The sequence below is a fragment of the Homo sapiens genome, chromosome 1 (assembly GCF_000001405.40).
Source record: "Homo sapiens chromosome 1, GRCh38.p14 Primary Assembly".
NCBI classification, from domain to species: Eukaryota; Metazoa; Chordata; class Mammalia; order Primates; family Hominidae; genus Homo; species Homo sapiens.
In genome coordinates this window covers 211,726,391-211,752,645 of record NC_000001.11, presented here as the reverse complement: position 1 = coordinate 211,752,645, position 26,255 = coordinate 211,726,391, and the positions used below count along the sequence as shown (strand labels likewise).

The following is a 26,255-nucleotide window of genomic DNA, read 5'->3' as shown; positions in this document are numbered from 1 at the left end:
AGAAAGGTATATTTAGCATTCCCCACCGAAGGTGTAACTGTCGTGGGGTCTTTTGTACCATCTGGTCTGAGTTAGGTACAGGACAATAAAGGAGGTAGTTAATCTCTAACAAAGGTCAGAGATTAGAAGGGCAGGAGGTCTGGTCTCTGGTGTCTCCTAGTCATTTACAGAACAAGAACAATGAGGAGGAGAATTAATCTATAAGAAGCAGAAGTTGCAACTACATGCTTCGTGACTCAGATCAAGGTCACATCTCTCTCAAGATTTAAAGTGTTTTGGGGATTCCAATAGCTTTTAAATTTTATTTATTTTTATACCTGCAAAGCGTAGAATATTTTCTGTCTGGCCCTTTAAAAAAAAGCTTACAGACCTGATTTAGAGCATTGATTATAGACAATTGCCTGAGAGTTTGTGGTTGAATTTGTTACATGTACATGGAAAATTAAGCAAATGAAAAATGATACATAATTTCTCAATCCAGGGAAAATAAAAATTGGTAAAGAAAGGAAAAGTAGCCACGATTTACTCCGTGGCTTAGCAATGAATATATTTACATGATTGTATTAATATAAATGCCTAATATTGAGCTAACTGAAATTACTCTACAATTGTATTGGGAAGATGGGAAGAATGTGCATATGTTATGGGAATAGGAAGAGGAAAGAACTTCATCCTCATCTTCCATACTGGGAAGTCAGTAGAGAAGGCCTAAAACAGAAGAAACATGGTGATAAATACCAAGATAATCAGCTAAAAGAGGTGATAATCAATTCTGGGGAGGGCAGAAATGAAGGGAAGAGGGACAGGACTCCCATTTTTCATACAAATATATTTTTTGCTGACTTTTTAAACCATGTGCCTTTATACCTTTGATAAAGGGGACAAAAAATCCCCCACTAAATTAGAAAACAAAAAATAAAACTATTTTTCAAGGTCAGCAAATATGTAGTCCTCATGCTGCCTGTCCCCTCTCAGTCCATGGGTATCACTAATCACAATCGTGTTTCCTGGTGAGTCAGGACATGGTCTCAGATCTTGAGAATAGTGTTCTGGTAGCCACTCCCAACCGGTAAAAGTTACCCCTATTCATGAAAGCAGTATCTCTGATACTACTGATATTACCGATTTGGGCAGAGTCTCTGTGCTTCTCAGACTTTCCCACCAAAAGAATATTGCCTGACATTTAACTAAATGACTGAACATCCTGATTTAACTGCATTTTAAAACTTCATCTGTTCTAAATACCATTTCTACTTAAACCCACAAACATGGGAAGACATAATTATTCTCTGTAGTTATTCATAGATATAAGGTAATTTAATAGTATGTTTTCAGCATCTAACACTGGACCTAAACATAGTAGACTAGTAAATGTTTGAATTAATGCATAAATTAACTCTCTTGTGTAATCAACAATTTTTAATAACCAAGATACCTGAAAAGCTGAAGAAACCAACCCTTGTTAAAGCAAAAGATGACAACACAATTTTATTCAGCTTTTCATCATAAGTTGTGGTTCTGAATGATTTTGACTTCTGAACTAAATAGTTTTTGTTCTTTTCTTCTAACCCTTAATAGGATCTTTCCAATTAAAGATGTACCCCTGGAGACTGATGACCTTACCACTTGGCTCTATCAGCGGTTTGTTGAAAAAGAAGACCTCTTATCACATTTTTATGAAACAGGTACACAGTAACCTTTAAATAGTTGCTAAATTATAGCAACAGTAATGAAAGCCTCTTTTAAAGAAAGCTGTTTGCATATTAGATCTTGAAACTTGAAAATGCACTCTGTAAATTGCCTGTGAGAAGCAAATCCCCTCATGAATCAGCTTACCCTGGGGATTATCAGCAAGGACAAAGACTGCTTGAAATGCTGATGAGTGTTATCAAGATGACCTTAGGTAATATTGCTGTATGAAGTTATCTAGCATTCCTTTCCAGAAACGAATTTAAAGACATCTGTTTACTTTGTATTTCTTTTATTATTAAGATACATTTCATAAAGCATATTGCCTTTTAAAAATAATGTCAGTGTTATACAACTACTTTTTTGACAAAAAATTTGTAAATAGAGGAATCAGCATAAAGTGTGCTATTTCAGAAATTATTTCATGTCAATCTCACATAATCCTGGGTCCTGATCACTGTGGGAATCTCTAGGGATCCAGCAGAGACAAGGCAGCTAGAGTGCCTGCTCTCATGCAGATTATATTCCAGTGGGAGACATGGCAAACAAGTCTGCAGAAAGAAAGATAATTGGGATCATGACCAATTGGAAAAAGTTCCAGGAAGGAGATAAACAGAGATGGGAGGGGGAATATCTTTTCTGATATGGAAAGGATGCACATGAGCCAGCTATTCATTAAGTGGAGGAGGACAGCATTGCAGGCAGAGAAAAGGCAAAGGCTCAGAGGCAAGAAGGGGCTAGGTAGTACAGAAATTGTATTTCAAATAAAATCTCTCCTCTGGGGCACTGGAAAGTCACTGAAGGTGCTTTAACATGTACAAATGTAGTTAAGCTAATATTCAACTTTTATTCCAGGAGACCTACCATTACAGTAAAACAAACTAATATTTCTATCTTGTCTTTTAGGAGCTTTTCCACCTTCCAAGGGCCATAAGGAAGCTGTTTCCAGGGAGATGACCCTCAGCAACTTGTGGATATTTCTCATACAGTCTTTTGCATTTTTGTCAGGCTATATGTGGTACAACATCATTCAGTATTTTTACCATTGCCTGTTTTAGGAATTGACGTGGACTTGTCAAGGTCACCGTAGGAGTTCAGACTTTCTTTCATAAGTGTGCATTATTTTACATGTGCAAATCAGAATATATTTAAAAAAAAGCAAAAGAAATTCAATGGATGGATTAATATTTATCCCCCTTTGGGATATTTTAAAATCTACTAAAATGAGGATTAGTAATATAATGACCTGCTAATATATTTTAAGAACATGTTTTAAAAAGATACACTCTATCACATATTTAAGCAAACATCACATTTGGAGAAGAGGAAATCATAAAATCATCCTAGAAGACTATCTGAGAGAAATTCTGTTGCCACCAGTTATACTTGACAATTTAGTTGAAGCTCAGAAAGTTATATTCATCCCTCTTAGCTGTAGTCTATATTAGGGCAGTTCTCTAGAACGCCCACATTTCCACCAACTCAGTAAACTTGAGGGGAGCTGGTTGGCACCTCGTGAAGAACTCTTTCCCTGTCGTTTGCAGTAACAAACTCCAGTCTGTTGCAGTAACAAACTCCAGTCTGTTGCAGTAACAAACTCTAGAATATTGACATTCTCTGTGGGGGAAAAGCAGTGTCCACTGGACCCCTTCTGGTACTGGATGTGTTCTTTACAAAGGCTAGCTCAGTCCAACACTGTGTTTACATACACTCGTGCTTTTCCTTATCTGACTTCTCATTTTGTATCAGAGGCATATCATAAATTGATAATTTTGCAAAATGCACTTTTTTGAGATGCAGATATAGCAAAGGATTAGTAATATAGCCTGAAAACAAATGGGAGCATAGCAGTGTGTGAGGTTCTCGAGAACTGTCTTGTCTCTGTGTGTTTATTTGCCTGCCAGTGCTCTCCAGCGCCATCCTGCCCTGGACACCACCCTGACGTGATGCCTCTATTGCAGCTCAGAGGCTTTATTTTTTCCATTTTGACATTGGCACTAAATGCATTTGGGGATGGTTAAAACAAATTACTATAGAACATTTAAATGATCAGTTTAAGGGGAAATAGGCTAGTTTATAGAAAAATAAGAGCTAGTGGCTTATAATGGTGACAGGTTCTCATGTGGCACCCCTAGGACCTGTGCAGACAGTAGTCTGTTGAATCATTACATCAAGGAGCTGCCCCTGTCAGGGTGAGTGTAATTAGGAACGATACCAGCACATAAGGCTCCCCCCAATCTCTTCCAGTTGCTTTTTCTTTTTTCTTTTTTTTTTAGACAGGTCTTACTCTGTCACCCAGGCTGTAGTGCAGTGGCATAATCTCAGCTCACTGCAGTCTCTGCCTCCCGGGTTCGAGCGATTCTCCTGCCTCAGCCTCCCGAGTAGCTGGGACTACAGGCACCCACCATCATGCTTGGCTAATTTTTGTATTTTTAGTAGAGATGGGGTTTCACCATGTTGGCCAGGCTGGCCTCGAACTCCTGACCTCAGGTGATCTGCCCACCTCGGCTTCCTAAAGTGCTGGGATTGCAGGCGTGAGCCACCACGCCCGGCCTCCAGTTGCTTTTGAAGAGGGTAAAGTCAAGTTTCTATTTCTAGAAAACATTTTTTAGAAATTTGTTGCGATGTTTGTACAATTTACCTCATAAGAGAACCACACCCTTCTCCAAAAGTGCTGGTACTGCATCAGTGAGATGAGTAGGGTTTTTGTTTGGGATTGTAAGACTATTAAGATCCTAGTAAGTCAGTGGTAGTTTACTGTGATGTGAGCATTGTAGATTCCCCCGTTGTCACTAATCACACAACAATTTTGAGAAGTAGGCTATAAAACAAAAAAAGGTTGCTGTTTTCTATTTTTAAATAAACCAAAAAAAAACAGAAAAGATGTGAATTTTCCCCAGTTATGTGGGAAAGGTAAAGCAACACCAAATAAAAGCCCACAGCAGCTTCATCTTTACGATAACTCAGTGCATATGTGAAAGAGAATGATGCATTAACTGAAATACCTCATTGAATATTATACTACTACTGGTAAAATGCAGAAGACAGTGTTAATGTGTTTGGTTTGGGGACTGGTTGTTATAAAATGCAATTTTTTTTTAAATCTAAGCATTTCATTATGTGTTCTACAGTGTCGGTGAATAAATGAAACCAATCTCAATTTAGAGGTATGGATGATGACAGAAAGCCCAATAGAAGCTTAATGATGCTTCTGTTTGAGGCCCAGCAAGCACCACTAAATTACTGGATGAAATGAAATTGTTCACTTGAGGGATTAGTCAACCATCTGGGGGAGAAGTTGCTCACTGTCAAATACAGCATGCACGGTCCTAGCTGATAGACCTTTTCCTCATTGCTACAGCAAGCCACAGGGTAGAGTGACCAGTTCTCCTATCCAAAAATAAATGCGAACATGCATACATAAATGTGGCTGAGGGCCACTTTTGCCATCACTGTGCTCCAAAGGAACATGATATTGTTAAATATACTGTACACATTAAACTATTCTATAAGATGCTTTACTTTTCAAGTACGGTGTCATTTTCACAGTCTCCAGGGTGACAAATGCCAATAGATATGTGAGTTAATTTTTTTAAATATCTCCGTGAGTTGTAAATAGATGTGTATTTGATCTGCCCTATCCTTCTTTGATTCTTTAACATGTTCTCTCTCTTCTGTTTGCAAAATATGTTTGAAAGCATTGGTAGTGCTTTCCTTATCAGTAACTGGAGTTCTCCTGCTTGCACTAGAGAAGGTAAAGAGAGAATCAGTATTCTTATATGGCAATCTGGGGAAGCAGCAATATGCCACTGTACAAAACTGAAGAAAAGTTCCTAATTTGTACTTTGTGAAGGGAGATGAAAGGACGTTTAAAGTATATATATTTTGTCAAGAGGAAAGAAGATAAAACTATGCCAGTTTTATATCAATAGCTTGTAGAAGCTCAGCTCTTCTTGGTCTTGGCTAGACTGCCTAGATTCCCACAGCAGACAAGGTTGAGAATCCATTGCTGGAATCTTGGTATTGATGAGTTACAGTGATGGAACATGTGCTTGGCCACAGGCAGGTCCAGTCACTGCAAAAGTGACCAAGCCAGCAGGTCACCCTTAACTTCAGAAACAATTATTGGTGGTGAACTGTACTTAAATTGCAGAGAAACCTGTAAGTAATGGAAGGTAAAGAAAAATTACAGAATGGAAAATAATATTTTGGGCAAGCAAACAAATTCACTGAGAATTCCAAAAGTATATTAAAAAAGAAGATAGCTATGAGTTCAGATCTATCTTATTGGTCTTTAATATTACAACCAATCCTTAACTTTCCACTATAAAGGAAGGATTACTAGATTGATTACTTTCTGGATAGATAATCTGGTAATAAATGATAGGTAAATCAAAAATTACTTTTATTTAGGAGTTTGAATTCTTACTCTCATCAGACATTTTTTTTCTAGGGACGCTTACTAATTAAATGATTTAAGTTGTTTCTTAGGGGTTTTTTGCCTATATATTTATGACTGTGTTAATGAGTAGTGAAATGATGCGGAAAGACAGCTATCAGGAAGAGGAAATACAGAAGCCTGAATAATCTATGGGTTAGAAAAGCATCCCTGAATAATCAAAAATTGGCAGTATTGGCATTGTTCTCAAGCCTTTTTATGAAAATGAAATCTGAAATCACCAAATGTAAACCTGGGAACATTATTCTAGTGTTGCTGTCTTGGATTCATGTTAAGAAGCGTCTTCATTCTTTGCTCATGTTGCCCACTTCTTGTGGATTTGTCTGAGTGTTTTTTGACAATCACTTCCTTAAAGACTCTTCTGAACTAGTTGGACCTGGTTAATCATAGAGAGTAGCCTTTAATCATGGATAGTCTTCTTGGATTATTTTTATATTTGAAAAGAAAATGTTTTATTTGCACTACTGAGTAGGAAGAGTTAATTGTTTTCTTTGTTCTTTTTTTGAAGTCATTACACAGGACTTCACTCCAGAGTTACCATTATGAGTGTGTTCAGCTCTGGTCCACAGAGGATGGATAAAAATGGTTTGTTATGTTTTTTTGCTCTGCAGTGCTATGAGCCTTATATCTGTTAATATGAAGGACAAAGTCAAAAGCAGCAGTGGATAGCAGGAAGGGTAGAGACTAATATGTTTGGGACCAAAACCATCTAAGTTAGAGATTTCCAGATCACAGAGGGGCTGGGCATTCTCTGGAGCAGTCATTGGTTGGTGCTTTATTGTAATCATTTTGCGCCAATCCCCAACAATTAGGAACTGGACCCTGGGAATAAGCTGAGGGTGCTGAACTGTTGGGGAAGGGTGACTGTAGCCACATGGAAGATAAAATATGGGTTTTTCTGCAAAATTTCCATCTGAGGGTTTTTACATTTAATATTTTTTTAAGACAGTTTAAAGAGCAAACGTTTTTTAAGTGTATTCTAGTTGCAAAGTATGCACACATATCTTGAATGGCTTTATTTTTATTGTGTAAAACTGTTGAACACATGACTGTGATGCACAAATTCTTTACGTGTAAGGAGTCTATGCATTTTACAGTAACTTATTTTATGATCGGGTGATGAGACAGTTATACTTTCAACTGCCATTATTTTTATTAAGTGCTTTCATTTTCTTTACAGTTATTATAAAATTGTATTTATTTTATACAGATGGGTTTTCATTTTCCTGATGCTGTAATGTTTACTTCAGCTTGTTGACCTTTCTTTGTGTTATCTGCATGTTGTAACGTGTGATAAGAATGAATGTAAAGGCTGTGGCAACTGTAATTAATTTTTGTAAAGGGCTGGTCACACGTGGATCTGGTTTATGAATGCATTTGGGATGATTTTGGTAACCAGATCACCTTTTCAGAAATTTAGATGTGAACACCAAAAGAAGCATTTTCTCAACAAAAATTAATAGCTGGTTCTATTTTTTTTAAACCTAGAAAAAATAAAGTTGATTTTTTTCAATTAAAGTGCTTTTAATTCTTAGCAGTGGGGATGGGGCATGTGTGTTTTACCAGAGCTATTTGGGCATTAATATCTGCAGGCAAGTACTTAAAGCACACTGTGGCAGTTGGATGCTGAAGGCAAACTGAAAAACCAAATGAAAAAACATCAGACTTCCTTCTTTGGTTTAAAAATATTTCCCCCTTTCTCCCCATTCTCCCAATCCAGTGGTGTGCTGGTAAATGTTTAGCAGTTCACTCTTCTGGGAGAAAATTATGTATTCAACTATACATGTTTGTTATAAATTTTGCTGATAGCAAGAACATATAACACAATTAACAAATAATAAGATACAAATACTTTATTGTAAATCCCATATAGCCAGTTGATTCTCACAGTATACTTAGTTGCTCAGGAAAGAACTAAAATGCTTTTTTAAAAGGATACTTAATTGCTTTTTGCTCAACTCCTACAGTCAACCTATGATTGATTGTCTTTCAACTGTGATTTGAAAAATGGCAGACTGTCCAAATCTAACTCATTTCCCAATAAATTTATTATCATTCAATCTGATACGTGATCTACTGTTAAAACTGTTTCTTACCATGGTACATATTAGACTCATTAAGCCGAAACCACTTTTAGCTTTAACATTAATTGTAAATTTATATGATTCAATTTTCATAACCAATGCTTAACAACTGCAGGCAAAATTCTAAAATGTGACCACTGGGTCTTGGGAATCAGTAGGGGCTGTATCCAGCACACCACTGCCCCATCCTTTTTTTCTTAACTATTAGTGTTGAATAAACTTCTCATAGTTAATCTACTTGCTGAACTCAGGAAATTCCTATCACTGACCCTGGCCAGGGCTTTAAAGGGTAGGAAAAGCATTAATGTCAGTCCTACACAGCGAACTTTTGATTTAGAAGAATGTGACAGAAAGAAAACATTTACTGAAATACATGGGAAGCTTGCATATTTCTAAAGTTGTCTTTATACTTTTCATTTCTCAAAGCTAAGTAAACTGTGGTATAGGCATCTCTAAGATGTTAGCATTTAAAACATCAATTGTTTTATTGATGTTTAAACAATTGTTTAAATCCCACTGAAAAATTTAAATATTAAAATATCTTGCACAGTCTACCAAATGAGTTAAATCGTTACAGTCGTGTCTACCTCTTATTTTTCTATCTGTATTTAGGCTGCTGTTTTGGTGAGATTCTAATTTCTTTTTCCCCTGGAACTACTTTCTGTGGAAGACAAGGAACAGACTGGGGACAGAGGCCTGAAAACAAATTGGAAGCACTCAGAGATCTATTGCTGACCAGCCCTATTCCTCATGAGTTGGCGGGGGGAAAGCCATTGTTTTTAATTTCCACTTAATATGAAAATGCTTGTTTTTAAAATGTTTTTTCCTGCTGAACAAATGTATTTTTAAAAGGAAAAAAATTCTCTTTTGGCTCTAAGAAGTCAGCTGTATGAGCAGGCGTGACCATATCATAACATGCTGATATGATAGAAATCAATAAATTTTTACCTCTCAGGATCTGGGTAACCTTGTTCTTAACTCCTAGAGGCTTGAGAAACATAAACCAAGTCTCAACAGTTCAGATCACATAGAAACAGACAGACATATGGAACGTGGGAGGAGGGTTGGCTAACCGCTGGAAATGAGATGGGCCCCTTTCATGATCAGAAAAGCACTCTCTAGTAGGTACAAAGGAAGAAACTGGAACAATGTTTTCTACTAGTGAGCAAGGAGCACATCACAGAGCTCATTTCTGAGTTCTCCCCTGGAAAGATTTTAGTGCCCCACTTTGGAATACTTTTTGCCTTTTGGGTGTGGGAGCACTAGAGATGGAGATGGTAAAGTTCTCACTGTTGACTTACCGAGGCAAGAGAACACTCAGCCATTCTTTGATTGTAGCAGCTGTCTGTGTGGTGTCATTGAAAAAACCTGGCACTGGGATACTTCCCTTAAAATATCAGTGGTTGCATCTTTATTTCCTTGTTGCATTTTTGATGGGAAAATCTCCCTGAAAAGGGTCTTACCTTCAGTTTCTTAGCAGTGCACACTATCAGGGCCAGCTGATGGACAGTTGAGGGAAAAGCAAATAGGTACCTAGAAGTGGAGAGATCAGAAGAGCTTGGAGTGCTAGGAAGAGGAAGCCAGGAGTGCTGGAAGACAAAAGGAAGACCAGAGCCTGCTGTCCACAAACAGGTACATATATCCTTGATACACAAACACTTCCAAGGAAGAAATCAACTTCCATGAGAACTCTGACCCAGAGTGTCTTCCCTGGGAACTCACCTGTAAAAGATCCCACCTCCCATTTCAGATAACTGCCCATTTTACTGAGGAAAGGCATACCTCAGCCAGTAGGGATGCCCCTCCAGGGTGACAAAGGGACAATTCAAAATATTGATGACACAGAAGCTTCTTTCAATCAAGGCATCTTAGCCCACAATCAGGCTTTTTGTGTTTCTCTGATTTATGCTTGTTTCAGTAAGGACAAAGGATGGCATTAGAAATGGTGCATTTGGGCCTGCGTTGGCTGTATTGAATTCTGATATATTTAGTGTGGGACAGTGGCAGCAATGGCAGCTCAGGGCTCACAGAAGTAGAAGGTACCAGGACTTCTTAATGGCATAGGTCCAAGACTGGCACAGAGTCACTTTTGGTGCTATATTCCTTTAGTTAACATGTCACAGAGCCAGTCCAGATTCAATGTGGGAAGGTCTATAAATGGGTAGAATACTATCAAATACTGAGAGGCATGCTTCATTGGGAGCTGTCTTTGAAGATCAGCTACCACAGTTAAAAAAAAAAAATTCCTAAGCTATTTGAATAAAGAACACTAGATGGGTCTAAAAGAGTTCTTGCCCTTTGGCAGGCTTGCCCATAATTTCCATTAGTTAGAAATATTTCGAGTTCCCAAATACCTTAAGAGGATTAGATTTGTTGATCCATCCCTCATTCGTATAAGTCACATTAATCAAATGGACACCTAGCTAAAAGAATGGAGGTTTTGTTTGGACATTATATTATTTTTGGCACCGATTGATGCATGACTGATTGGCTCTTAGAATTTCAGAGCAAGTAGTCACCTTGTTTTGGGATGGCAGATTTCACTCTGATACAATTTTGGTGCATTGCTGGTAGCATCAAATGGCTACTTAGTAGAATTGTGGGGACTAGAATCAGCTTTCTTTTATTTGCATTCATATATTTTCCCCAAAACAGCATATTGCTTTGGTTCAGATTTATGTATTTCGTAAATAAGAGTGAAATCTAAAGGAACAAGTATATTTGTTAAAAGGGCGATGGATCTAGAAGCTAAAGCTTCCATAACATCCTTATCCTCAATTTTAATAATCCCAAAACCCCAAAAGATAATTTTTATTAATGTTCCTCTCAGCTGCTGCAGAGATACAATTAACCATGAAAAAAGCCCTGAAATTAATTATTTTTTTTTTTTGGATGTGGAAGTGAAGTGCATTTTAAAAATTTTGCCCTATATAGTAGAAGATAAAAAGAACATTTTTATGTTAGACCAAAGGGGATACAGATTTCAATCTCATAATAGTTTCTTTCTTTTCTGAATTCTAGTGTGGAACTAGAGTAGGTAATAAATTCTAGGCCACGATGGCCACTAGTGCCCGAATATCCCTCTGTCATGGCGCCATCAAGTGTTAAGGGCTTGTCCAAGTAGGAGCCCAGGAGCAGCAGAACCGGGGACTTCAATTCGACCTTGGCCCTTTGGCAAGTTTCTTATCCTCTCAACCTCACTCTCCTTATGTGTTAAATGGGAAACGCTCAAAGACTTCTTTTTTTTTTTTTTTCTGAGACGGAGTCTCACTCTGCAGCCCAGAGTGCAGCCGCGTGATCTCGGCTCACTGCAACCTCTGCCTCCCGGGTCCCGGTTCAGTGATTCTCCTGCCTCAGCCTCCTGAGTAGCTGGGACTTCAGGTGTGCACCACCACACCTGGCTAATTTTTGTATTTTTATTAGAGACGGGGTTTCACCATGTTGGCCAGGCTGGTCTTGAACTCCTGACCTCATGATCCGCCCACCTTGGCCTCACAAAGTGCTAGGATTACAGGCGTGAGCCACCATGCCTGGCCAAGACTTCTTTTCAGTATTAAGTGAGATTATATACAGGAAGCACATAAGACACTGGCACATTGTACTGAATGTGCAGTAAGGAGGCTGTGTTTATCTCACCCCAACTGGGTTTAACAGAGGATGTAAGTTATTCTCATATTGAGATGTGCCTAAACTGCAAGTGATGTGTTCCATGCATACCCAATGCAGTGGCTCATGCCTATAACCCCAGCACTTTGGGAGGCCAAGGCAGGAGGATCACTTGAGCCCAGGAGTTTGACACCAGGCTGACAGGAGATCAGCCTGGCCAACATGGTGAAACCCCGTGTCTACTTAAAAAAAAAAAAAAATTAGCCAGGCATGGTGGTGTGTACCTGTGGTCCCAGCTACTCGAGAAGCTGAAGTAGGAGGATCACTGGAGCCTGAGAGAATTGAGGCTGCAATGAGCTGTTATCATGCCCTAGGTCTCTTGGTTTTTAAGTTAGACACATGCAATCAGCATAGCCAAGTCCCTAACCCCACACAGTCAGACTATATTTAATATATCTAAGGCTCCAGACAGCAGTGAGAAAAAGCTTTGAGGTTGGAGCGCCAATTAGGAAGGTGAGGAGACGGGGGCATAAAGAGGAAATCAGATCTACTAGACAAGACATTACATAGGCTTAATAGGGACCTATTTTTGCTTCTGAGACATGATGTCACTTGTGGTGAAGACCTTGAACTAATTATCAAAATGGAGGGAAATATAATTTCTAGTATTTGGAAGCTGTCCACCAGCCCACGGTTCTCTGTATAATTCATATGATTCTAAATATAAAACTACATTGAAAGTGTCCTAATGCTTCAGGAAATTGAAAGTAATTTTGAAAACCTTTCTCCTTTCTAGTTGCAGAAGTCTCAGAAGTTTATATCTTGAGAATTGACACTTTACCTTCCAGTGGTAAGTTCTGGGTGCTCAGTTCTTAGTGGGTATCAGAAGGAAGTGGGCAGATTAGAATAAGATATTGCTTATGGCTATTGAGGTTATCATGGTAGAGCACAAAGAAACGAGGCAAAGCTGGATTAGCAGGTGTGTATTCGAAACTCTGCCCTGCTGGGGGTGGGGGTGAGGAGATGAGAAGCAGGTGATGTTTCAAAGCCCCATCTGGCCCTAAGAGCCTTTGATTCCCCAGACAAATATCCAACAAGCTGTCCAGCCCACCATTCACGGAACTTCAGAGTAACACCAGAAATTGGGAATTCCAAGAGAGAGAGGCTTCAGGGCCATGATGAGGTTATGGAACAGTTCTCTTAGAGAAGATTTGGAAATACTTCAAACCATCATCTGGTGGGAAGCTTGGCATAAACAGCAACTCATGGATATGGAGATGGCTGCTCAGGCATTACGATATTCAGAGTGGTTCTGGGCTAGCTTATTATAAAGAAGACCCGTCCTTGTTTTCCCAAAGGATGGCTAGAAAAAGCAAGGGAATGAATGAGTTAATGAATGTGGAATTAATAAAGCATTTCTTCTTGGAGGCAGAGAAATGGAACAGCTGATTACTGAAAGCCAGCCTTCAGAATCTGTGCCATGTCCGATCAGGAATAATAATTGAAATTGTCATTGGAGCGATGTCTGAGGGATGCAGAAACCTGGTGTCACAGGAAGCATTGCCTCAGACTCTGTCTTCCTCTTTATTAGGCCTTGGAGAGGAAGGACAGCAGGGTTACCTCACCAGCCCAGCTCCAGCTCCCCTTCACCCCCCGCCCAGGTACCTGTCTGACTGCAGCAGGAGATTCTAGCACAGAGGGTGCCAGCAAGCAGGGGTGCTCAGAGGGTTTCTCATTTGAAAGGTATTTACTGTTAGGGGAGAGTGGGAGGAGAGGAGGGGCAGGCATGGGTGGGCAGAGCATAGGTACTAGGAATCTGCAAACCACAGACAAGAAGCAAGTGAAAGTAAAGATCTGAGGGTTTGCTGTAAGCTGCATTAGCAGGAGGAGCACTGGGCCTGTGGGAGTGGACACATGTGTCTCCTTCCAGGGGCTCCTGCCACAGCCTCAGCCTCAGACATCTCAAGGCTCAGTGTGTGTGTCTGTCTGCCAGTGTACCCCAGGGGGGCCTCATGGTGAGGCTTCCTCTGCCTGGGTTGCTCCTGGCATGGGCTCCAGCTTTTCCCCTCAACCCTGCAGCCCACTGGAAGACATAAGCTAAAGCTGGTGGGGACCTCCACTCTGGGTACCGTCCCTGCCCATCCCCTCTGGCAGTCGCTTTCCTAACTGACAGGTATTGGTGAAGTGCTCAGGATGTTCTTGGTGGGCGTATTTCCTCCAGGTGGGGGTGGCGTAAAAGCCACAGCCTTTTAGAAGCCTCTGTTTCTTTCCTTGACTGGCACTTTAAAAGGTGTGTGCTCTACCGTCATCACTAGGAGAGGGAGGCTCTGTGATCCTCCTTTATTCTCCCATCTTTCCACCGGGGTCTAATACATTTAACAAGCCTATGAAAAGGCTGCCTACCTCATGCCATTTTCTGACTGTTATTCAAAGTGAAGGACATCTGAAAAAAGACATTACATTACCTACAGCCCAGGGTGGAGCGGGGAGGGAATAATTTAGTACAAGGAATTAGGAGGCATTTTTTCTTTTTTGACAGGCTGAAAGGCTTCCTAGGTGAGATTTCCATCGCTGGTTGAAGGAAGGGAAAAGGCTGAGTGGGAGGTGCAAGGGCTGCTAATCTGAAAATTACCGGAATTTCCTTAATTTCCACTCTTTAGAAAATGTCTGCTGCACAAGGAGAGGGTGGTGAGAATCCAGTGAGATAATCCTCATGGAAGGGTTTGGAGAACCTTGTAACACTTCACCAGAGTGAGGGGCAATGACAATTCGAGTCCACGATAAAAAAATAAAATAAAATAAAAAAAGGCCCTTTCTTGTCACTAGAAGAATTCACAAAGAGGCTGGGTGAGCCTGTGCCAGGGTGCTGGGTGGGAAAACCCACTCTGGTTGGGGGATGGACCAGCTGGCCCCTAAGGCCTGTCTCCCCCTGGCCCCTAAGGCCTGTCTCCCCCCAGCCCCCAACTTCCATGCGCCGTTGTCACAGGGACCCTGATAAAAGCTCCCACTGTGCCTGGGTTTCTGTTGTGCTCAGAGGAGGGAAGAAACAATGAGCTCAGCTTGGCCAGAGGACAGGTCTCATTTTGCTCTCATCACTTACAGAGGCCTCTCCCCAAGCAGCAAACTACCAGGCAGGACCAGCTACGTTGTCTGTGTGACCCAGTACAAAATGAAAATGCGACTCCCTGTTCAAAGAGCATTACGAATTTCAAGTCGGCAACAGAAGAGCAGTAAAACGCAGGCACCTCATGAAGGCTGCCCTGTCATGAGAACCACGAAGGAGGAAATGAGGAATGGGAAGGAGCCAGGCCCCTGGGGGTGGTCCATGTCCCCTTGTTGTCCCTCCTGCCAAGGCACTGCACAAGATGTTCTTAGAGAGGAGGAGATGTGAGTAGCAAACTGTAGGGTGTGGAAGCTCAGCCCGCCAAGGCATCCCAGAACTGTGCCCTGAAGGCCAGGAGACCAGGCATCCACCGACCATCCCCCGGTGGTTAAGGGCTGCCCCTGCAGTGGGTGGAAAAGGCTCCCATGGCACCAGAGAAGCCTCAAGGCCTGAAGCTGAAAGGCCCTAGGTGTGGGAAAGATGCTGCCTGGGGTAAGCGTGAGTCCCACGGAGCAGGAGCCACCTGCCACAGGGCAGCTGAACACTGAGCCAAGGGAACATGGCCAGGGGCGCCTAAGACATCTGCACAGGGGCCACCAGACTTCCCGAGGAACCAGCCTCCCAGTGCAGCATGGGGTGGGGTCTGCAAGGTCTGTGAACAAAATAACATTTGTGGTGCTCTGTGAATTCACGTGCCCTTCCTTTCCTCACTGACTGCAGTTGTCCATTATTTGAGCTGCCCCCTTTCCCACCCACTGTGCAGTCACACCATGGAACCACAACCAGGTTGCACAAGAAAGCAGGACAAAGGGGTGGGATCAGTCAGCTAGTGTTTGCAGAATGTGTCTACTGGGTAGACTGGAAAGGGGCCTAGAGATGGGACACAAGCTCTGCCACCATTACAGTCACATGTTGACATGTGCAGATGGCATCACAGAGATTAGCTGTGGCGATGCTGAAGGGCTTTGGGGCAGGGGTTAATCCCTAGGGGCTGCCTAGAGAGGGAGGCACAAAGCTCAGGGAAAGGTTCAGAGCACATTTCACTGCTGGCAGAAGGATGCTGGAGACTCGTGCTGCCTCCATCCTCAGTCGCCCGGGCAGCAGCTCGCATCCAGGCTCCACCTGGCTGCCTGCCTGACACTGCTCTGGATCCAGCAGGCCAGCTCAGATCTCCTTGCCAAGTTCTTCCATCCCCAAGGCCCTCTTTCTTGGCCACATTTCCTCGAAACCACTTTCTAGGCCCTTGTTGCCTCCCACATTGTTCTGAGAAATGGGCTGGCAAACTACCCAGGCCAGAACCCCTGAATCTTCGAGCAGAGAAGCAAGCTGATCATAGTTATTAATCAGTCTTCGAGGGGGAAGGATCCAGGCATAGGAAACAGGAATCTTAGGGAAATACCCCAGCTCAGCTCCTTTCTAGCCAGATGGGTCACATTTCCTCAGTTTCCACATCTTGAGACAATAATCAGCTGCCATGAGATCAAATGAAATCGCACCTGAGAATGGAATTTTCTAACCAATGGAGTTTTATGTAAACATAACATTTAATAACCACCGTTTGCTGCTGTTGTGCCTTCTCCTACGCTCTCCCGTGGCACACACAGTGGGCTTTGTTATGTGGAACTTATTATCTTGGCAAACTCCCATTGGTCTGGAGTCTAAACTGGACACTCAAACAGGCCGATTGTGGGTTGTCTCAGGCCTGCAGGGGCACTTGATCCTGGTTCAGAGCCAGGAATGCGCAGATCCAGCTCTTCGGAGCTCCGTGGCCTTGGGCAAACTCCTTGATTTTCTGTCGCCTCTTGTGACTCATCTCGTGACTCATCTGACAAAGGAGGTTATTATGCCTGCCCTGTCTGCCTCCCGGGTTCCCAGGAGGGTCACGCTAGATGCGAATGGTTCTACACAGGGGCGTGCTAGATGGTCAAGCGCTGCAGAGATGCGGGGGGTAATGACTGGGGGGAAAAGCTTTCTACCTTGATTCCACAGCACACATCCTTTCATCAGGCCTAATGTGGACCGGGAGGCAGAGACAAGATCTGGAAACATTTTCTGGAACATCTGAGAGTTAGTGCACAAAATAAATACTCACCCTCTTCCTAGGCAGGAGTACATTAGTCCTTACCATTATGGTGGTGGTGGTTGTATTAAGGTTATTATGGGTCAGAACAAAGAAAAGGGGAGGGGATGGAGTGGAATTTGAGTCCCAGGAAAGGAAGAAGAAAATGTCAAGAAGTCTTGGGAGGACTGGCAGGAACCTGAAGGGAGGAGCCAGACAGCAGGGGACCAGACAGCCCGGGATTGGGGAGCTGGCCAGATGAAGGAGGTGGCACGTTTGTTCCTGCACCACGCAAGAAGCACCTAGAGGGAAGGAGGGAAAGCTGAGAAAGCGTAAAGCAAGGGCGGGCAGTCTTTCCCAAGCATGGGGCCACTGACTCCCTGGCACATGCAGGCTCGTATAGATGGGCAGTAGAGAGACAAAGAAAGGAAGGAAGACGTAGGTTGCCTGGAAGGAGCCAAAGAACCATGGTGGTGGTTTGAAATGGTATATAATTGTGTGAAGGGACAAGGTGGGCAGTGGCCCTCTGGTCTCTCTGGGAGCAGGAGCTTCCTGCACAGGCATCACCAATCATCGGGAGTGAAAAGGAGCCTGGACTTTATTATTTTATTCTTCCTTCTCCACTTCCTTTCAGTCAATATGTACTGAGTACTTACTGCATGCTAGGCACTGTGCCAGGTGCTGGGCATACGGTAGGGAGCAAAACAGACAAGGTCTCCTGGAGCGTGTATTCTACTCAGGAGAGATGGAAAACAACTGAATAAAATACGGTTGACTCTCCTTCTTCACAGATTCCATATTTGCAAATTTGCCCACTCAATGAAACTTACTTGAAACACCAAAATCAATACTCACAGACTTTCGGAGTCATTCGCGGAAGTGCAGAGAAGCAGTAATTTTGAGTTGCTCGAGACCTTCTTGTTTCTGCTCTCATATCATAAACAATCATCCTTTTCACGGTCTGTTTGATGCTGCAGTTTTTTTGCATTGTTGTGTTTTTATTTGGTGAGTTCACTATTTAAAAAGGCCCCCAAGCTTAGTGCTGAAGTGCTGTCTCGTGTTTCTGAGTGCAAGGAAGCAGTGACAGGCCCGACAGAGAAAATACGTATGTTAGATAAGCTTCGTTCAGGTGTGAGTTAGTGCTGTTGGCCGTGAGTTCACTACAAATGAATCAGCAGTATACACAGTTGACTCTTGAGCAACACGAGTTTAAACAGCATAGGTCCATTTATATGCAAACTTTTTTCAATAAAAGTTACACCAAGTGTGCCTGCCTCTCCTGCCGCCCCTTCCAACACCTCCACCTCTTCCACCTCTGCCACCACTGAGGCAGCAAGACCAACCCCTCTTCTTCCTCCTCCTCAGCTTACTCAAGGTGAAGACAAGGATGAAGCGTTTTATGATGATCACTTCTACTTAATGAATAGTAAATATGTTTTCTCTTCCTTATGATTTTCTTAATAACATTTTCTTTCCTCTAGCTTACTTTACTGTAATAAGAATACAGTATATATAATACATATATAAAACGAGTGTTAATCAACTGTTTATGTTATCAGTAAGGCTTCCAACTAACAGTGGGCTATTAGTAATTTAAGTTTTGGGGAGTCAAAAATTCTACATGGATTTTGACATGCACAGTGGGGGTTAGTACCCCTAACTCCCTCATTGTTCAAGGGTCAACTGTATTAACTAAGGTGTCTTTAAGCAGAAACACACATAAAACAAGGTTATATATTGCTTGATGGATGGAAATGTTGTTGCCAGTGGCTTGCAAAAACCTAACCTCCATTTACCCGATAGTTCAGTACTCACTAGCTCAGTGTTCATGGTGACTTTATAAAGCATAGCTACCCCAAATAATGAGGAAGGACAGTAATTTTATTTATAAGTGCAATAAAGAAGATCAAGTGGGGATAGATTAGAGTATGATTGGAAGGGGGCTGGTGATCCAGGAGGCTCTTTGGGGAGGTGACAATTGAGCTAAGACCCAATGACAAGAAGCAGGCAGCCACGTGAGGACCTTTGCAGAGAATTCCAGGGGATGGGGACAGCAGGGGCACCAGCCCTGGGGTGGGAAAGCTATGGTGGGCATGGCTGGGGCAGATTGAGAGCCCAGCTGGACGGTGGAGCAACTGGAAGAGGAAAGCATCACACAAGAGGAGGCAGAGAGTCGGGCACAGTGGCTCATGCCTGTAATCCCAGCACTTTGGGAGGCCAAGGCGGGCAGATCACCTGAGGCCAGGAGTTTGAGACCAGCCTGGCCAACACGGTGAAACCCCATCTCTACTAAAAGAAACCAACAAACAAAAATATATATATATATGTACACAAAAATTAGCTGGGCGTGATGGTGCATGTCTGTAATCCCAGCTACTTAGGAGGCTGAGGCAGGAGGATCGCCTGAACCTGGGAGGCAGAGGTTGCAGTGAGCCGAGATGGCGCCACTGCACTCCAGCCTGGGCAACAGAGTGAGACTCCATCTCAAAAGAATTTAAAAAATAAAAATAAAAGAGGAGGCAGAGAGAAGGCCCCTGAGGGCCACATGAGGACTGTGGCTTTGATTCTTAGTTCCATGAAAGTCACTGGAAAGTTTTCAGTGGAACAACGAAACTGATCTATGGTGTTCACAGATACCCGGCTGCTGTGTGGGGAATGAGCCAAAGTGACCAGACTGGAAGTGGGGGTCCCGTTGGGAGGTGACTGCACTATCCAGGCTTGAGACGGCATAGCCTCCATCAAGGTTGTGGCACTGGAGACAGATTCAGGTCTATTCTGGAGGAAGAGTTAAGCTTGATTTGCTGATGAATTAAATGTAGAAAGTGAAAGAGAGGAATTAAGATGACTCCGGGGTTTTGAGCTGAAACAGCTGGATGGATTGTGTTGCCATTTGCTGAGATGGGGATGACTAGGGCAGGACAATTATGACCATGTTAGGTTTCACACACTTGCTAAATATCTAAGGACATGTATTCATGAATACATGAATCAAGCTCAGGGGTGTGTCAGAATTGGAGAGAGAAATTGAGAAGCAATTAAACTGGATGAGGTCCCTGAAGGTTGGTGGGCACTTGGGAACCTCTGCAGGATTCAGACAGAACTGGGTTGTGGCAAGAGAGGCTGGGTGTGCAGACAGGGTCCACAGAGGTGGGAGTATAGGCTGAGAGGCAGCTGATGTTTCTGGTTGTGAGAGTTGTAAAAGGGGATCTGAGAAATGTGGAATCTCAGGGCTTAGAAACTGAGAAGGCACCCCCTGCAGCCCTGCTCTGCAGATGCTGCAGGAACCCAGCCTCCCCGTGAGTAACAGGATCTACCACCCAGCCTGGGGCCCATCCAGAGCTCCTCCAGGCCCTCATTCTGTCCCACCTGACATTAAGCACCTGAGCTGGATTATAGCTGGCTCGTATTTCTAACCAGCTAATTTCCCTATGTAAAAGATATTTTGCTACTGGGCTAGACATCCAGTGAGAGGAAGAAAGGCAGGGGTTGGCCTGAGCAGGACTTGGGTTAGAGAACGTGGGAGTTCAGAGCCTGTTCTCCCCTTAGGTAATGGGGAAAGAGACAGAGGGAGGAGGAAGGACCAGCTGGCAGCCCAGGGCTCTGGCGGTAGCTGTATTGTGCCCAATGAATCAGGAAGGGATGATTCCTCTGCCTTGAAGCAGCATAGCGAGGCGGTCAGTGCACAAGTTCTGGAGCCTGACCACTTGGATTCAAATCTTAGTTCAACCATGTACTAATTGTTGTGCCTTTTCCCCTGTCTGCAGAAGAGCACCAAGCACACAGTGTGCTCATGGGGTGCCTAGAACAATGGCTGGCATGTAGCAAACACTCAGTAAACAGAATCTTGAGCTGGTACTGAGGCCATTTCACATCTGCCTCTCATTGAACATTGACTTCCAAGCTGCAGGTCACTCCTGCACAAATGAAAGATGGCTGCTGACTGGATTAAGGTGTGGCAACAGATAGGCACAGATCTGTGCTCTGAATCAGGCACAGTAACTGTGAGTTTCATAGAGCCTATGTAATCACTGTGCTTGCTGTAATAACATCCTTGATCCCATGACACTGCATTTTTCACACTTTTCATTCTATCTTAGGTATTAATCTCTCTCCTAGGGCTGCTGTGATGAATTACCACAAACCTGGTGGCTTCAGACAACACTCTTTTTCTTTCACAGGTCAGGAGACCTGAAGTCCAAAATCAAGGTGTCAGCAAGGTTGGACCCTTCTGAGGGCTGTCGAGGAGAAACCATCCAGGCCTCTCCTGGCTTCTGGTGCCTGCCAGCAATCCTTGGCTTTCCCCAGCTTGTCACACATCACTCCAATCTCTGCCTCCATCTGCACATCACCCCTTTCTCTGAGTCTTTCTGTGCTCTCTCCTTTTCTTCTAAGGACACCAGTCATTGGATTCAGGGCCCACCCTAAAACAAGGATGATTCCCTCTTAGGATCCGAAATTAATTTTATCTGCAAGTAACCTATTTCCAAATAAGGTCACACTTTGAGGTGTAAACATGAATTTTAGGGGGACACTATTCAACCCACTCTATCTTTGCAGTGGCCCACTGGAGCAAGAAAGACAAGTACTATTATTGCCTTTATATAAGTTGGAAAGCCAGGGTCTAGAGAAGAGAAGTTAACTGGCCTATGGTTATATAGTTAGTTGGTGGGAATAGATCCCAGATTTAAATTCCTCTTCCAGGACTGTTTCCCCACCCAAGTTTTTTGTTTTTTGTTGTTGTTGTTGTTTGTTTGTTTTGTGAGATGGAGTCTCTCTCTGTCGCCCAGGCTGGAGTACAGTGGCACTATCATAGCCTACTGCAGCCTCAACCTCCTGGGCTCCAGTGATCCTCCTGCCTCAGCCTCCCAAGTAGCTGGGACTATAGGTGTGAACCACAGTGCCCAGCCCTCACCCAAGTTTTACACACGTACATACACCTTGTATGTATGTTATGTGCAAGGAAGACAGACACTGAGGGCAGGAAAGAGCTGCTATCTTGCCTGTCCAGCTCTCCTCTCTCTTCTTCTGGCAGATCAGCTTTGGCCTTTTCCAATCACGTGGCTCCATGGCGGCCACCATGCTCTAGTAGGGCCCTCTTCCTGGCACAGGGGCTCCCTGGGGCCCAACCCTTGACACCTTTGACTGCATTCAACTTGTCCAGAGATGGGTGTGTGATTCAAGTTGAGGAAAACAGAGCCAATTGGCAATTTAGACATCAGGGCCTGACAGTGTGAGTCTCAGTTCCATCCTAATGGCAAAGCTGGGAGATCAAGCTGCTGGTGGCCACGAGGACAAGGCCTTCAGAGAGAAGAGCAGACACAGGGCTTGCAGAGGGAGGCCTGATGGACCTGGGGATCTTAGTTGCAGCTGTCCCTAAGGCCCTTCCCATGCCTTGGTTACTTGAGCCAACGTATTTCCCCTTTTCCCTCTTTTGCTTAAACAGGTTCACATTTGTCTTCTGTCACTGGCAACCACAGCAGTCTGAATTATCATCGCATTGCAAAAATAAATGTTAGCTCATGTTGGTAATGAAGAGATCAGTAAAAAAAAGAAATCAAGCCGGGCAATGTTAGAAATCAAGCTGAGCATGGTGGCACACACCTGTAGTCCCAGCTACTCAAGAGGCTGAGGCAGGAGGATTGCTTGAGCCCAGTAGGTCAGGGTTGCAGTGAGCTATGGTTGTGCCACTGCACTCCAGCCTGGGTGACAGAGCAAGAGACCCTATCTAAAAAAAAAATAAAAAATAAAGAAATCATGTTTTGTTTTCCATTTAATATTTGAGAATAAAGTATTTAAGTAAACCAGTGTGTTTTAATCAGGGGGTTAACAAAAAAGTATTGATGGAGCTCTCATTCAATATAAAAGAGCAAAGGTGACATATTCAAATAGTCTCTTTTTTTAATGGCTTCATCTTGTAGAAGACCAACTTCTAAAATTTTCCCCAATGACCCCCCATATCTCAATACTAATATCCTTGTGTAATTCCCTTCCCTTGAGTGTGAGTTGAATCTGGTAACTTGCTTCTGACAAGTAGAATATAGCAAAGTTGATGAAATATCACATCTGTGATTAGGTCACAAGAGGTTGTAATGCAGGCTCTCTCTCTTGCTGGCTTTGATGAAGTGAGCTGCCATGTTAGAGAGGCCCACATGGCCAGGAACTGAGGGTGGCCTCCGCCAACAGCCGACCAGGAACTGAAGCCCTTGGTCCAGCAGCCTGTAAGAAACTGAATCCTGCCACCAACTGCTTAGAAGCGGATCAGTGCCCAGTTGAACCTTGACTGCAGCTGGGTAAGTCTCCCAGCGAAGCCATGCCCGGATTCCCAACACACAGAAACTGGGAGATCATACACGCGTGTGGTTTGAAACCACTAAATGTTGGGGTAATCTGTTACAAAGCAATAGATACTGAATTCAACTCTGATAATAAAAGTCCCATTACATAAAAAGCAGACAGAATTTTTTTAAAATCAACAGAATAAACAAATAGAAGTGAAGTCAAGGTGCTGTTCTGTGTACTCAAAGTACTTAAGTATGTAAATAACTTGCTTTTAAATAACTGAAATATATTCGGCATTATTCCTATCATTTATTTCCGTATGGTTACCTCTGAAAAAGGAGTGGAATGTGTTAGGTGCATTTGTGCTGAGCCCATGGATGTTTTCAGTCCCATGAGCTGCAAAGAGATGCTTTTGAGAATATCTTTTCTATGGCACGATATTCAGTTCAGAGGATTCAACTTAGAAACGTTTTCTTACAAAAATACTTAAAGGACTTTACATCAATACCTGTAACATGGACAACAAGGATAGAGTGAGTGACTATGAGTGTGTGTGTGTGTGTGTGTGTGTGCGCGCGCACGCCTGTGCATAGCTTAAGGAGTGTTTTTTATACAGCTATGTTAGGAATACAAAACGTGTATTCCTACTATAAGGGCTACTGTAATATGAAAATTAAAACCACCAAGGGCTATTGTAATATGAAAATTAAAACTCAAACTCACCACACAATTCAGAAAAACTACATGACTATTCACATTTTCAAATTAAAACAGGTAAATAAAGCATTGCATGTACTCACACACATACATCCACACACACTGCAGATTTCAGTTCTATATCATGCATAGTCGGACAAGGTAGAGAGTTACATAGGGGAGAGAGAAGGATAGAGAAAAAGAACATGAGCCTGGCCCAGTGGCTCACACCTGTAAGCCAGCACTTTGGGAGGCTGAGGCAGGGGGATCGCTTGAGGTTAGGAGTTCGAGACCACCCTGGCCAACATGGTGAAACTCCGTTTCTACTAAAAATACAAAAATTAGCTGGGTGTGGTGGCACATGCCTGTAATCCCAGCTACTTGGGAGGCTGAGGCAGGAGAATCACTTGAATCCAGGAGGTGGAGGTTGCAGTGAGCCGAGATCATGCCACTGCACTCCAGCCTGGCTGACAGAACAAGACTCCATCTCAAAAAAAAAAAAAAAAAAAAAAAGAACATGAGCATTGGAAGCTTGGAAGTTGATGAGGAAAAACCTTTGTTTCAGAGTGGTTCACTAAGGCCTTAGAACTTTTTTCTTTCTTATTTTTTTTTTTAAAGCTATAGGGTGCTTTCATTTGCCAATCTTATTAAAGGGCTGGGGTTGGTTTATTCGTGTATGCAATATCTATAGTGCACTGGGTGCTATCCCTGCAGCTGGGCTGAGCAGTGAAAACAGAGCATCCTTAGAGCATATGCACACACAGCACACGGTGCAGAGCCAGACGGTAAATGGTTATGAGGCAGGGTGATAACTGCTAGGAGAGGGATATGGACTACTGTGTTAGTCTGTTTGCATTGCTAAAAAGAAATACCTGAGACTGGGTAATTTATAAAGAAAAGAGTTTATTTTGGCTCATGGTTCTGAAGGCTGTACAGGAAGTGTGGCGCCAGCATCTACTTCTGGTGAGGACTCAGGGAGCCTACAATCATGGCAGAAGGCGAAGCGGGAGCAGGCACATCGCATGGTGACAGAGGGCAAGAGAGAGAAGGGAGAAGGTGCCAGTCTCTTTAAACAACCAGCTCTCTTGTGAACTAATAGAATGAGACTCATTACTGCGAGGTGGGCACTAAGACATTCATGAGGGATCCACCCCCATGACCCTAACACCTCCCACCAGACCCCACCTCCAACACTGGAGATTACATTTCAACATGAGATTTGGAAGGGACAAACATCCAACCGTATTAGCTACCAAAGCAGAGAGAACCAGTCTGCCCCAGGCTAGGTTGGGGAACAGGAAATTCCCTGAAAGAGCAGATGCCTTGGTACAAGTTAGGGGGGCCCACCATAGTAGTCCTGGCAAGAACAGGCAGAGGCCTGAACAGACACAGGCAGCGTCACAGAATAGAAAGGAATGGCTCCTTGAGAGGGGCCCCAAAAAGGACTTGGCAGAGGGAAATTGCCCCAAGATTCCCCCAGTTTCTAGTTCATGACGTTGCAGGGATGGAGGATACCATTAACTGAAGGAAGAAAGCAAGAGAATAGATCTATGGGCAAAAGGATTTTTCCACAAATAATATAACCTGATCATACAAATATCTGATATAACATTTTTGAAAGATTCTCTATAGCTTTCAGGATAACATTCACACTCTATTGTTTAGCATGTATGGCCCTCCACATTCATTCTTCTCTAGGTTTATTTCTTGTCACTCACCCAAGTTCATCCTTAGTTCCAGCAACACAAAACTACTAGTAATTCTCAGCCACGTTCCCTGGCTGTTGAATGGTTTTGCATGTGTGATTCTCTCTGTCTAGAAAGCTCTCTGTTATGAACATCTGTTGCTTTAGTGTTCTCAGCATCCCCCCTCATTCCATGTGGTCCTAATGGAACTGCCAACCACAGTATCCTGTCCCCTATTCCCAGTGCTGGGTAGCAGATCCAGGCCCGTTCAGTCACAGTACCCATCCCCCAGCCACAGTGATTGACCTGGGATTGGCACATGACCCAAGCTGGGCCAATCAGAGCCCTTCCGTGGGATTTTACATATGGGTGCTGGGAAAGTTCTCTCTTTTTTCTGGAGCCAAAAAACTCGGTTAATATAAGCCTGGAACTGCCTGTGGCCAGGGCCCTCCTGCCCCTGAAACCTGGAGGAAGCTAACCTGATTAGGAGAGAATGAGTCCAACACAGAGGAAGAAGCAGCAGAGGTAAGTCTGAGGAGAGCCGCAAACCTGAATGCTTGTGTGTCTGAGGCCAGCTTCACCCAGTCGTCCCAGT

General features: G+C 43.2%; 1 protein-coding gene across 10 annotated transcripts in view, besides 3 other annotated features; it reads left to right on the top strand.

Annotated features, from left to right (window-relative positions):
* The window catches only part of LPGAT1 (lysophosphatidylglycerol acyltransferase 1), an 87,307-nt gene extending 78,118 nt beyond the window's left edge, over positions 1 to 9,189 (top strand). For all 10 annotated transcript variants that reach the window (NM_014873.3, NM_001375841.1, NM_001375844.1 and 7 more), the window contains 2 exons: positions 1,579 to 1,685; positions 2,596 to 9,189. In NM_014873.3, the coding sequence (NP_055688.1) occupies positions 1,579 to 1,685; positions 2,596 to 2,747 (259 nt within the window). In that variant the 3' untranslated portion in view covers positions 2,748 to 9,189. The remainder of the gene's footprint in view (positions 1 to 1,578; positions 1,686 to 2,595) is intronic.
* Positions 8,728 to 8,897: an enhancer, noted in NCBI's record as "experimental_3231 CRE fragment used in MPRA reporter constructs". NCBI's record gives its function as "activates a minimal promoter by MPRAs in K562 erythroleukemia cells, with activity observed for both the introgressed and non-introgressed 1:211917176 or rs2298095 variant alleles {active_cell/tissue: K562}" and the evidence as "EXISTENCE:reporter gene assay evidence [ECO:0000049][PMID:34662402]".
* Position 8,812: a transcriptional cis regulatory region, noted in NCBI's record as "Neanderthal adaptively introgressed variant 1:211917176 (GRCh37/hg19 assembly coordinates) or rs2298095 in the experimental_3231 CRE". NCBI's record gives its function as "modulates activity of the experimental_3231 enhancer by MPRAs in K562 erythroleukemia cells {active_cell/tissue: K562}" and the evidence as "EXISTENCE:reporter gene assay evidence [ECO:0000049][PMID:34662402]".
* Positions 16,820 to 17,319: an enhancer, noted in NCBI's record as "H3K27ac hESC enhancer chr1:211908669-211909168 (GRCh37/hg19 assembly coordinates)". NCBI's record gives its function as "activates a minimal SCP1, AML or CMV promoter by ChIP-STARR-seq in naive H9 embryonic stem cells {active_cell/tissue: H9 hESC(naive)}" and the evidence as "EXISTENCE:reporter gene assay evidence [ECO:0000049][PMID:30033119]".